At 39.1% G+C, this 14,111-nt stretch overlaps 1 protein-coding gene across 1 annotated transcript in view, besides 2 other annotated features; it reads left to right on the forward strand.

Moving 5' to 3' along the window:
* Positions 1 to 14,111, forward strand: part of PDE7B (phosphodiesterase 7B) — a 343,874-nt gene that overhangs the window by 127,147 nt on the left and 202,616 nt on the right. The gene's annotated exons all lie outside the window — the stretch shown is intronic.
* Positions 6,922 to 7,173: a silencer, noted in NCBI's record as "fragment chr6:136306907-136307158 (GRCh37/hg19 assembly coordinates)". NCBI's record gives its function as "represses an EF-1alpha promoter that drives an FKBP-Casp9 reporter gene in an ReSE screen in K562 erythroleukemia cells {active_cell/tissue: K562}" and the evidence as "EXISTENCE:reporter gene assay evidence [ECO:0000049][PMID:32094911]".
* Positions 12,434 to 12,935: an enhancer, noted in NCBI's record as "NANOG hESC enhancer chr6:136312419-136312920 (GRCh37/hg19 assembly coordinates)". NCBI's record gives its function as "activates a minimal SCP1, AML or CMV promoter by ChIP-STARR-seq in naive H9 embryonic stem cells {active_cell/tissue: H9 hESC(naive)}" and the evidence as "EXISTENCE:reporter gene assay evidence [ECO:0000049][PMID:30033119]".

Here is a 14,111-nt window from a genome sequence, read left to right on the forward strand (position 1 = left end):
TCCTGATTGAATACCCTTTATTTCCTTCTCCTGCCTAATTGCCCTGGCCAGAACTTCCAACACTATGTTGAATAGGAGTGGTGAGAGAGGGCATCCGTGTCTTGTGCCAGATTTCAAGGGAATGCTTCCAGTTTTTGCCCATTCAGTATGATATTGGCTGTGGGTCTGTCATAGACAGCTCTTATTATTTTGAAATATGTCTCATCAATACCTAATTTATTGAGAGTTTTTAGTATGAAGCGTTGTTGAATTTTGTCAAAGGCCTTTTCTGCATCTATTGAGATAATCATGTGGTTTTTGTCTTTGGTTCTGTTTATATGCTAGATTACATTTATTGATTTGTGTATATTGAACCAGCCTTGCATCCCAGGGATGAAGCCCACTTGATCATGGTGGATAAGCTTTTTGATGTGCTGCTGGATTCGGTTTGCCAGTATTTTATTGAGGATTTTTGCATCAATGTTCATCAAGGATATTGGTCTAAAATTCCCTTTTGTGGTTGTGTCTCTGCCCGGCTTTGGTATCAGGATGATGCTGGCCTCATAAAATGAGTTAGGGAGGATTCCCTCTTTTTCTATTGATTGGAATAGTTTCAGAAGGAATGGTACCAGTTCCTCCTTGTACCTCTGGTAGAATTCGGCTGTGAATCCATCTGGTCCTGGACTCTTTTTGGTTGGTAAGCTATTGATTATTGCCACAATTTCAGATCCTGTTATTGGTCTATTCAGAGATTCAACTTCTTCCTGGATTAGTCTTGGGAGAGTGTATGTGTAAAAATCACAAGTATTCTTATACACCAACAACAGACAAACAGAGAGCCAAATCATGAGTGAACTCCCGTTCACAATTGCTTCAAAGAGAATAAAATACCTAGGAATCCAACTTACAAGGGATGTGAAGGACCTCTTCAAGGAGAACTACAAACCAGTGCTCAAGGAAATAAAAGAGGATACAAATGGAAGAACATTCTATACTCATGGGTAGGAAGAATCAATATCGTGAAAATGGCCATACTGCCCAAGGTAATTTATAGATTCAATGCCATCCCCATCAAGCTACCAATGACTTTCTTCACAGAATTTGAAAAAACTACTTTAAAGTTCATATGGAACCAAAAAAGAGCCCACATCGCCAAGTCAATCCTAAGCCAAAAGAACAAAGCTGAAGGCATCATGCTGCCTAACTTCAAACTATACTACAAGGCTACAGTAACCAAAACAGCATGGTACTGGTACCAAAACAGAGATATAGATCAATGGAACAGAACAGAGCCCTCAGAAATAACGCTGCATATCTACAACTATCTGATCTTTGACAAACCTGAGAAAAACAAGCAATGAGGAAAGGATTCCCTATTTAATAAATGGTGCTGGGAAAACTGGCTAGCCATATGTAGGAAGCTGAAACTGGATCCCTTCCTTACACCTTATACAAAAATCAATTCAAGATGGATTAAAGACTTAAATGTTAGACCTAAAACCATAAAAACCCTAGAAGAAAACCTAGGCATTACCATTCAGGACACAGGCATGGGCAAGAACTTCATGTCTAAAACACCAAAAGCAATGGCAACAAAAGCCAAAATTGACAAATGGGATCTAATTAAACTAAAGAGCTTCTGCACAGCAAAAGAAACTACCATCAGAGTGAACAGGCAACCTACAAAATGGGAGAAAATTTTCACAACCTACTCATCTGACAAAGGGCTAATATCCAGCATCTACAATGAACTCAAACAAATTTACAAGAAACAACCCCATCAAAGAGTGGGCGAAGGACATGAACAGACACTTCTCAAAAGACGACATTTATGCAGCCAAAAAACACATGAAAAAATGCTCACCATCACTGGCCATCAGAGAAATGCAAATCAAAACCACAATGAGATACCATCTCACACCAGTTAGAATGGCAATCATTAAAAAGTCAGGAAACAACAGGTGCTGGAGAGGATGTGGAGAAATAGGAACACTTTTACACTGTTGGTGGGACTGTAAACTAGTTCAACCATTGTGGAAGTCAGTGTGGCGATTCCTCAGGGATCTAGAACTAGAAATACCATTTGACCCAGCCATCCCATTACTGGGTATATACCCAAAGGACTATAAATCATGCTGCTATGAAGACACATGCACACGTATGTTTATTGCGGCATTATTCACAATAGCAAAGACTTGGAACCAACCCAAATGTCCAACAATGATAGACTGGATTAAGAAAATGTGGCACATATACACCATGGAATACTATGCAGCCATAAAAAATGATGAGTTCATGTCCTTTGTGGGGACATGGATGAAAGTGGAAATCATCATTCTCAGTAAACTATCGCAAGAACAAAAAACCAAACACCGAATATTCTCACTCATAGGTGGGAATTGAACAATGAGAACACATGGACACAGGAAGGGGAACATCACACTGTGGGGACTGTTGTGGGGTGGGGGGAGGGGGGAGGGATAGCACTGGGAGATATACCTAATGCTAGATGACGAGTTAGAGGGTGCAGCGCACCAGCATGGCACATGTACACATATGTAACTAACCTGTACATTGTGCAGCACATGTACCCTAAAACTTAAAGTATAATAATAATAATAATAAAAACAGACTATTAAACAGACTACTGGTATTTTGGTTTCTTTTGTTATCTAACAAAAACATCAAATAAAATTACTACTTTTCAATTTCAAAAAAAAAAAACCGAGACACAAATGCACACAGTGATGTTGATCATCTTGACCCTGGGTAGGCCTAGGGTCAAGATGATCAATATCACTGTCTTCCACCTCCACATTTTTCCCACAGGAAGGTCTTCAGGGGCAATAACACACATGGGGCTGCCATCTCCTACTATAACAATGCCTTCCTCTGGATACCTCCTGAAGGACCTGCCTGAGGATGTTTTACAATTAACTCTTTTTTTTTTTTCAGAAGTAGGAGTATACTCTAAAATAAAGTATAATATGGTAAATACATACACCAATAACATAGTTGTTTATTCTCATTATCAAATATCATGTGCTGTACAAAATTGTACATGCTATACTTTCATATGCCTGGCAGAGAAGTAGGTTTGTTTACACCAGCATCACCATAAACAGTGCGATGCACTGTGCTACAATGGTTACAATGACTATGAAGTCACTAGACGATAGGAACTTTTCAGCTCTATTATAATCCTATGGGACCATCATTGTACATGCAGTTTGTCATTGACCCACACGGTCTTACACAGCACATGACTATACTTATCCTGACCCCCCCTCTTTCTAGGTCCATGTCATACTCTTGCCACCCATGTTTGTTAAGAACTCTTAGTTTCATGTATCAAGCATATTGCCAAATTGGCTTAAGCATAAGGAGGGGATGTATTATAAGGACCTACCGCTTTGTAGAACTCAGGTTTAGTAAATCTCTTGCTGAGACTTGGAAGGGAACTGGAAGTAAGAACAAGAGCCTGTTTCTGCTTCTCTGAACATCTGCTTTATTTTTTTCTCTCGGCCCAGACAGGCTTTCTCTGACTCTCAGGTTCACATGTTAGCTCTCTCTCTCTCTCTTTCTGCTACTTTCTTCTCTCTGTCTCAACTTCCAAACACAGGGAGAGAATCTGTCTGGCCCAGCTTGGATCTGGTGCGCATCCCTTGTTCAATCAGGAACTGCTAAGGAAGGGGCAGTCTATGTATTACATCATGACCCAGAGGAATCTTAGTGACCTGTGTTTCTTAAACTTTGACATGCATATACATCACCTGGTCATCTGCTTTAAATATAAAATCTGATGAAGTCTGGGATGAAGCCCAAGATTCTACATTGTTAATAAGCCCCCAGTTGATACTACTGCTACTGGTCTATGAATCACATGTAGCAAAGTTCTAGAAGATGGGTTGTGGCAATTCCCAGAGATCATGAAGCCATTTTTTTTCTGTGCCAAATGCAACACGTGGCCTTTTTATGCCATACTTCTGGCTCCTGGATACTCATCACACCCTGTCACAGAGTGAGGTTTCTTCAAATGTGCTTGTCTTCTCTGAGTGGACCCTCATGTCCTCTAAAGGCTTCTCCCTTAGACTCTTCTAACCACCAACCTCAGAAGAACTCCCAGTCTCTGTTTTGTCCTCATCTAGTTTTCATGGAAAAAAGTGATCTGATGAGCACCATTAATGGTAGTCTAATCCATGAGTATTCAATCAAAAGTATTTATGAAATATTGATGTATTTCCTTTTTTATTTACAAAAATAAAAATGCCATATGGCTAAAGAAATGAATCTCTAATGAGGGAATTTCAATCATTGTGGTAGGTAGACAAAAAATTTAAGACACACACAGTGCTACCCAATTGTGCTTTGGGGTCTGGAGAAACCGTGGATACTGGTTGCCACACTGACTGACTTGTTGTTGACTCAGCAGTGGGCTGAGTTCACCCCTACCATGGGCTGAACTGACTTCAGAACCAAGGGCAGTGACCAAAGAGACCTGTCCATGTCCTAGCTAAAATCATTCAGGTAATATATGTGAAATTAATCGTCTACATTCAAAATTACATTTTGTTGTGTGTAATATCAGTTGAGTATTTTCATAAAGAAAACTACCTACATTAGATAAACACTCAGCCAACAGAGGAGTACAGATGGGCAGTATCGAGTACTTGAATCCTTAGTGTTGTGCAGGGTATAAGAAGTGTCCCAATTATTACATTTGTCTTAAAGCCTATAAAGGTTTTTTAAAATTCAATTGAAATAAGTTGGTTATAGCACTAAAGTTTCCTAAATAGGAACTGTCTTTTTGTGTCTCATACGTGAGCATTTATTGAAAATACTCCCCCAGTATCCTATAGGCATTTCTCTAAGCCTTCCCAAGAAAGTGATTCTCTGCAGTCTATGTAAGAAGGATTCATTGATTTCTGAAGACAAAAATGTATTGATCTTCTATATAAACACCCAGAATCCATTTGAAAATGCTACAAGATTTTGTTGCCTCTTGTACCCAGTGGCACGAAAGGAAGATGATAGCTGCTTCCAGCAAGGCCCTATGTTTACTCAGGTTTCTTCATTTCCCATATGTGTGTGTTTGCACACCAAGCTGGGAGCATGTATTCCCATCATTAGTAACCTCTTACAAAATAGACTTCCTCAATTTACTGCAAATTCTGAAGGAATAAAAATGAAGCAAATAAATGTGGTCCATCTTTCTTCAGGACCTGATGCTCCTGCAGTGTGTATCTGGCAATTCTTTCATCCACCTATTAGACCAGCTGGAATGGGGAAAGAGGAATGCTTTGAATAAGAATACAACAGTTGCAGGAAGATTTTTCATCAGCCAGAGCTGTTGATAAAACAGTCAGCTTGAGGTTAGGAGTGACGCATATTGGAGTCTCTGCCTAAGACATCGAAGTTATTCATCGGAAGACCTGAAAGTAAATCATAGTCTCCCAATTGTTTTGTTTTTTTGTTTGTTTTTTTTGTTTGTTTTTAAGCTAGTGTCATTCAGGCAATAGCATGCATCCAGGCTAATGCTAACCTAGAATTTGCCAGCTCATAATTCTACTAATAATTTTTCAAAGTATTGCCATCTAATCTCAGAGAGATAGACATTTTCAATTTGAGTAGTTAATTCCTCTAGTTACAGAAATTGCTTGCCAAATGTGCATATTAATTTACCAATTAAAGGAGTCACCTGGATGATGGCCAGCAATGTCTCACGTGGCACATGATGGCTCTCCTACACACCCAATCCAGGTCTATTCCAGGAAAAATACCTAATTTTGTGTAGAAAATAAGACTTAGACTGGGGTTTAATATGAGAAAAATGAGAAGAAAAAAGACAATTTCTTACTGCAGTGGTTGCAAACCTGGATCCTGGAATCACATATGAACTTGAATTGTGATGATAAAACTTCCTTACTTGTGTTGTTTGAGTTTGTCACCCACAACATAGAAATGGTTGCTGTGAGGTACACTGAGATCAGGTGGGGGACGTGTATACAGAGTCTGCACACGGGAAGAGCTCAGAGCTTAGAGCTGTTGCTACACTTTTCTGATCCCACCTGCCCAGCTCTACTCAATCTTCACCAGCCCTGAGGAAAAGAGAACAGAAACAAACAAAAAAAATGCAAGCAAAGGCTACATGGGAGAGAGAATGGGAAGAACTGTGAAGAACTTTCTAGAACTGTTGGCATACCCTCAGAAATAATGGAATGAAGTTAAAGTCTTCTTTTCACTTGCTCTTTTGCAACTAGGCTGACCCAGTCTGAGCACCAGACTTTACACTTTATGTTTGCATTTCTCTCTTTGTGACTATTCTCGTAAGAAAAGGACTGTCATGCTGCTGTGTTTTCCAAAAGTTCAGGGGTAAATGCCACTGAGGGAAAAAAAACCCTCCATATAGCTGTTTCCTTATTCAACCATGACTGTCCTGTAGTGCCATCTGCCCTCACAGCTGAGCTGAACAGAGCTCTTGGGAGCTCCACAGGCCCCTGGGATGCAGCTTTCTGAGGTTGGATAGGACAAGGCAACTAGAGGTTTCCAGACTATTCTAGAAATGTTGTTTCTTTGGAGGTCCAAAGTTTTCCATCATTTTTTCTACATGAGTAGAATAATGAAAATGAGTGTGAAGAGGAGGCTGAGGAGGAGCAAAAAGATAAGTCCAAGCATTATTTTTCTCATCTGCAAAGGGAACAATTTCTTTGGACATAGACTCCACTTTGACAAAGCTGCTGCATCCAAATTCTATACTGTGAACAACTTCCTGTCATCTAGCCACATTTCTGGCATACACACAAAAGGTGACAGATATTCATAGTTTGGAATGCCCAAAAGTATTTCTGTCCTTTAGAAGGATTTGGAATGTAGGAAAAACAGAGCAAGTTACTGTTCAGTTAGTTCAAGCCTGGCTTAATTCCAAGCATTTCAAATTCAGAGCATCTAGAACTTTCTTCGACGTACTACCAAGTACAGAGCTTAGAGAAGCATGCACTTTGATAGTCCCAACCAGGGTGGCCGTATACAGTGCCACTGAGACCTTGACAACGTGTTTTCTGTCTCCAGATCCCTACAGCCAGGTGTTTGTGAGGCTGGTTGCTCAGGCACCGGGCGATGCTCTCCACTCTGCTCCCAGCCCGCTGCTAATAAAACCCATGGGAGCCAATTATAATGCTGTTACTCCTCCAGCAGAGGTTCAGCCTGTGTTTTATAGAAGGCACTCATATTGCTCACTAGAGACCCTGGAATCAGAGTTCTGTTCAGCGTTTGCTCGTATTCACTAGAACTATCACATTACTGAATCTGCAAAGAACACAAAACTTGCCTTTTTTTGAGTATATGTGGGTAAGGCTCATTGATAGTGAGTGTGAGATGCATTGACTTGTTTACCAAAACATCTTTGAAATGAGAGTAATTTCAGTAACTGAAGTGATGACATTTTGTTTTAGCCCTCTCCTCTGAGTGGATTATGTGAAAATGTCTAAACAAGCAAAAATGCTCTTTCTGTACATTGCAAAATGGCAGCCTTTAAAGCAACTACTAATATTGTTTATTTAAAGGAAAACATTTAGGAAAGTGTAGTAGCCATGCAATTAAGCAAGATTTTAAAAAACTGCATTCTAAGGAGACTCAATCCAGCTTTAAGAATCTACAGAACTGGAACAGAATAGTGGTTAGAAAGTTAAAATGTGGTTATGTTTTCAGTGTGGACATCCTAGCTCGATGGATCCCAGCAAGATGACACAGGTATGCTGTTCACATTTCGATTCTAAATCTGTCCTGGACAGCTCTGTCTGCCAAGTCTGAAAAATGCAGGTGTGAGAAAAGATAAGGAAACAGTCACAATTCTTCATACGTTTTCTGAATCTCCTTTATGGGATGAACCTGTATTAGTGTTACTTTCTTCAACAAGTTTTCTTTCAGAAAGGAGTTTTATGATTAGGATAAGTCCATTTTCTCTTCCCAAAGCTTTGATCTATCACAGACCAAGAATCTGATGAAATGGATCACAATGTTTTGAGAAGAGACTGAAATATTCCCATTGTGTGACCAGTGCCGTCCTAGGTTTAGACTTGTGGAGCAGAAGAAGTGAGAAGGGAAGACCTGATTGTTGTTTGTACATTTTTCACCTGCAGATAGCCTTGAAGCCTCTTCAAAGAGAGAGCTATTCTGATCCTGTCAACTTTCTAGCTTTCTGTTATTAAAGGAGGGTGTGTATAGACCTCATATCTGTAAAGTAATACCTTTATCCAAAATAAATTATCTTTGCAAGTAACTACAACTTGCCTTCCAAACAACAAAGTGATCCTTAACTTTGAGACAGGTCTTGCTGCAGTAGATGACACGCCTTGAGGAGCAGACAATAAAGAACAGAATTTGGCACTTTTTAAATGATTTGGGATAATCTTCTCAGCTCAGGCGAAAGCTGTTCAGAGTCACAGGGAATGTCTCTGGGTTGACAGCAAGAATAAGGTGATGCCAGTTCATAGGAGTTGAGAGCACCAACCCTCTGGACTCTGTATTGAGTAGGAGTGGCCCCTGCTCCCAAGTATCTGACTTGGGAGATGAAGGGCTCCTGGATTTGCTGACTAGGGGGTTTCTCTCTACAGTTATTGCAAAATTAGATGCAAACACTGGCCTCGTGTTCATTCCATTTGTGATTGTGGTATCTCAAATGGAGGCCACCAGAACTGAGCCTTCTTCCCTTCAGAATAACACTTGAGTTAAGTCGCATAAGACAGATCCCACTTATTCCTGGAGATGTCTATCTGTCCCAAAAGCAGAGAGCAGAGTGTGCTCGTGATCACACCAACGAGAAGGAGCCCCTGGTTGCAGGAAGTACTCCCACTTCTTTCTTCTGAAGAAGAAAGAATAAGACACTTTTACTAAGCAGGGCCTTTACATTTCTCTAAACAGTGTTGCTCATCTTTTTGCTTTTATTCACTAATAAATACATGAGAAGATGAACATTTGCTGAAGAGGAAGCAAATAATAAAGACACACACACACACATACACACACACACATATATAATCACCTCCCAATGACCCTATCTCCAAATACCAACACACTGGAGGTTGGGAATTCAACAAATGAATTTAGGTGGGGCAAAGGGAGACAAAAATATTCAGTTCCTAATACATGCCTATCACATTTGTGAATTACACAGAGCCCCAAGGGAGACTATGCCCTGTAATTTTGTGTCCAGTCTGAGCTCTGTATATCATGTGAGAAAATTAAAAGCAGAATGGTATTTAGAGGAAATAAATTAATTGGGCAATGTTCTAGAAACCATATCATAGAACTAATTGAAGTTAAAGAAACCACAGTTCCTTATCATTAAGAAAGAACTAAGAGGGAACACAACCCACAAATATTATTTGTGGATACTTGGAGAATTGCCTGTAGAAGAAGGATTTGACGTCTCTGTGGTCCCAGCGTGTGGAATTAGTGAAAGTTAGAAGGAGGTAGATTTTGGAAAAATAGAAGGTAGAACTTCCCAGTAAAGAAAGCTCCTCAAAACTGTAAATTAGTAAGCTCTTTAGCACTGAGCTCATTTAGGCAGGCAATCCTCTTTCAGAGACATTCTAATGGAAATATTTAAATTAGACAGAATTTGAAACTAGATTTCTCCACATTCTGACTCTAAGATGTTACATTTTAAGAGCCCACTGTTTAATAATAATCAATCTTTAAATGATTTGTATAGGTATAGAAGAGAGAATATAAAGACCGAAGTAATCTATAATATTATTTTTGTGTTGAATGAAGGGTAAGAAGGGAGATACAAAATATGTTCTTCTTCCTTAGAGATACAGTTAAGATGAAGCATTCAAAGGAAATGGAAGTGTTCTGATCAAGTGGGTAAAAGGAATTATAAATTTAGGAATGAATTGATAACTAGGAAAATCTCACCTCAGGGAAATCGTGAGATAAGAGTTTTGTTGTCACTGTTGCTTTGTTTTGTTTAGGGGCCTACATTTTGTTTATCACATGGCTGTATCTCTTTTATAGAAAAGACAGACTGATGGATGTTTATTACCCAATAAATAGTTGGTAAGCTTGTTGCAAGGAAACTTAATCTCAATCGAAAATAAAATCGATCTGTCTGTTAATTATCTGCCATCACTAAGGAAATATAACCCTTACATAATCTTGCTTTTATGTAATCAGTTTCTACACTATAGTCCACTGTCTCTTTTTTTATGTTGGGAATATATAAAAATTCATTTTCTCCTAACAATGATATGTGTTTCAGATTAATTTGCCTTCTCTTCTGAAAATTAAGTTCTATGTAATTAAACCAACGGAAAATACAAACAACCTAAAAGATATCAATTAGAAGGAACTTGTTAAAACACTTGTGGATACAATGGTTGACTAAACTTACTAGAAAATGAGATGATAAGGGCAGGACAGTATCTATTTTATCCGTCACTATATTGCTTGTCCTTCATGGTGACTGCTACCAGGAGGTCCTCAATAAAAATGTACGTTATCAGGGCCGAGCGCGATGGCTCACGCCTGTAATCCCAACACTTTGGAAGGCAAAGGCAGGTGGATCACCTGAGGTCGGTAGTTCGAGACCAGCCAGACCAACATGGAGAAACCCTGTCTCTACTAAAAATACAAAAATTAGCTGGGCATGGTGGTGCATGCCTGTAATCCCAGCTACTCAGGAGGCTGAGGCAGGAGAATAGCTTGAACCCAGGAGGCAGAGGTTGTGGTGAGCTGAGATGGTGCCATTGCACTCCAGGCTAGGCAACAAGAGCGAAACTCTGTCTCCAAAATAATAATAATAATAATAATAAATTTATGTAATCAAATAAATGCAAAATTATTTTCAGGGAAATATTAACTCAGTTGATGAAATATATGAAAATATATCAATCAAATTCATTCTAGAGAATTGGTTTAATTACAATGGTTTATGTTGGTTTTTCAGGAGTTAACTGCCCACTTGGTGGGTTTCTGGTTTCTCTCTATTTTCTTGGTTCTGTTTGCTGTTTTGTTATTGCATGAGCAACAGATGTTTAAGAATATATGAAACTCAAATTCAATTTGAATATTGATTATGTCTCAAATGTAGTTATAGATTTTATTAGTAGAAAGTTTGCTTTTATGGAACCCTTATGGGTCCAAAACAAAGAATATCTAAAGCAAATATGTGGATAATATGGATTATGTGGGGAATGCATTGTTGCAGACTATGGTCAGAAACTCTGGAATTGGGACTCAGCAATCTGTTTTGATTTTTGGGGTTTTTTTGTTTTTTTTTTTTTTTGAGACAGAGTCTCGCTCTATCGCCCAGGCTGGAGTGCAATGGCACCATCTCGGCTCACTGCAACCTCCACCTCCTGGGCTCAAGCAATTCTTCTGCCTCAGCCTACCAAGTGGCTGGGATTACAGGTGCCCGCCACCACACCCAGCTAATTTTGGTATTTTTAGTAGAGACGGGGTTTCACCATGTTGGCCTGGCTGGTCACGAACTCCTGACTTTGGGTGATCTGCCTGCCTCATTCCCCCAAAGTGCTGGGATTACAGGCGTGAGCTACTATGACCGGCCAGCAATCTGTTTTGAAAATCCTTCAGGTGATTCTGATGAATACTTAATTTTGAAGACCATGAGCTTTGGGTTCTTTGGGAAACAAGTGGTGAGGGTTTTCGAGGCTCCTTTTCCCCTCTGCTCCCAACAGCTCTTGAAACAGAACCTGCTACAACCTGGGCGGCAGCATCCTGCTAGCCAGGAGTTGAAGTTAGACGTATAGAAATAGCAGCTGTTTTTTCTGGAGATATATTGTGCAACATGGTGACTATGGTTAATGACGACATATGGTATGTTTGAAAATTGCTTTAAAAAGCAGATTTAAAATGTTCTCACCACAAATAAGTGATAAGTATGTGAGGTAATGTTACCAGAAAGGGGTCCCAATCCAGACCCCAAGAGAGGGTTCTTGGATCTTATGCAAGAATGAATTTGGGGCAAGTCCATAGAGCTAAGTGACAGTAAGTTTATTAGGAAAGTAAAGGACTAAAGAATGGCTACTTCATGGGCAGAGCAGCCCTGAAGGCTGCTAGTTGCCCATTTTTATGGTTATCTCTTAATTATATGCTAAATAGGGGGTGGATTATTCATGAGTTTTCTGGGAAAGGGGTGGGCAATTCCTGGAACTGAGGGTTCCTCCCCTTTTTAGACCATATAGAGTAACTTGCTTATGTTGCCATGGCATTTGTAAACTGTCATGGCACTGGTGGGAGTGTAGCAGTGAGACGACCAGAGGTCACTCTTACCGCCATCTTGGTTTTGGTGGGTTTTGTCTGGCTTCTTTACTGCACCCTGTTTTGTCAGCAAGGTTTTTGACCTGTATCTCGTGCCAACATCCTATCTCATCCTGTAACTAAGAATGCCTAACCTCCTGGGAATGCAGTTTATCAGGTCTTTTTCCCAGCCCCTACTCAAGATGGAGTTGTTCTGGTTCAAATGCCTCTGACAGTAATGCATGTGTTGACTAATTAGGTTGATTGGTCCTTCCACAATTAATACATATTTCAGAACATCACGTTGTACACCACAAATGTATACAATTTTTGTCAATTAAAATAAAATTTTTAAAAAAAGAAAGAAAAAGATAGTTCTCTTACTCTTCTTCATTTCTCCTCCCTACAACTCACATTCGCCAATACCAGCAAATTGTTCTCAAGTGGCTACTTCCTGCTTGCTGATGGCTGAAATTCCTTCTGCTAGGAGAAAGCCTTTGGGTCCACAATTAGATTAGTATTGTTATATATTTATATGTTAATATTAGGTTAACAATATACTAATAATATAATGAGGTAATTTTTCTTCGAATGCTTTTTAGTCATGCATAAAAAATTGCTTTTTAAGTGTGATATCAGACAAGACAAAACCAGCTGAAGGCAGAAAGAATGATGAGGGCCATCAGAGAGCTGCAGAGAGAAAAAAGAGGCTGTGAGCTTTCAAGACTTTATGCCTATGCCTTGAGTTACCTTCAACATGCATGTTGATCGAGGAGACATGCATGAAGATAGATTATTTTCCTGTAGGTACAAAATCAAACTGTTCTCTTTCATATGATTCTTGAAGGTTTTTGGTTTGTTTTGGTTTTTGTTGTTGCTTAATCCACAAAAGAGCTTCCTTGCTGAAATATATGTTAATCAAATGTTATTATATCCATAGTTTATTCCTCTTCATCATCACTATGAGAAAGCAAAGGTCAAAGGTGGCTGCCCCTTCATTCCTTTCCACAAACATTAGACCAGGGGTGTCCAACCTTTTGGCTTCCCTGGGCCGCTCTGAAAGAAGAAGAATTGTCTTGGGCCACACATAAAATACACTAATACTAATGATACCTGATGAGCTAAAAAAAAAAAAAAAATCGCAAAAATCTCATAATGTTTTAAGAAAATTTACTAATAAGTATTGGGCCACATTCAAAGCTGTCCTGGGCTGCATGCAGCCCTTGGGCCACGGATGGGACTAGCTTGTTCTAGATATTTTCACCATAGCAGTCTCTTAGATATATTCCACTTTCTAAGTATTCTGTTTGAGGTAACATTTCTGTTTCATTTCAGGTTTCAAATATATATCATTAATTTGCATTTCAGGTTATTTTTAGCTTATAATATGTTAAAGTTCAAATCAAGCCAGCACTGCACAGTGCCTAACACTGGGTCTTGGGCAGTAAACACTTAATAACACCTGTGATGATACTTCAAATTTTTTTTTCCAAGTTTTTATGCATTAGAATAAACAGATTAACTTTCCTTTTTACTTAATTGTTCCCTGTAGCTAGAGTTTGTGGATGGTTTATATTCAGGATAAATGATAGCAAATGAAGGAAAATGTGACTCAAAATATGTGCTACATGTCCATTTATGTTTCATCTACGGATATTAAAATATTATTTCCCAGTGTTTGGTCCATGGAAAGAACACACTTAATAAACTTCAAAGTAACTCTGTTCCATAAGTGGGAATAGTAATTTCTATGAAGTATGAAACTTTACAGTTTATAAAGTGCTTTCAAGTACACAATCTCATGTGCCCCTCCCAACAGCCCTGTGAAGTAAGTGTAGGGTAATGACTTCTTATTTACTTGGCTGGAGAAT

This window comes from Homo sapiens, chromosome 6 (assembly GCF_000001405.40).
Source record: "Homo sapiens chromosome 6, GRCh38.p14 Primary Assembly".
Lineage (NCBI taxonomy): Eukaryota > Metazoa > Chordata > Mammalia > Primates > Hominidae > Homo > Homo sapiens.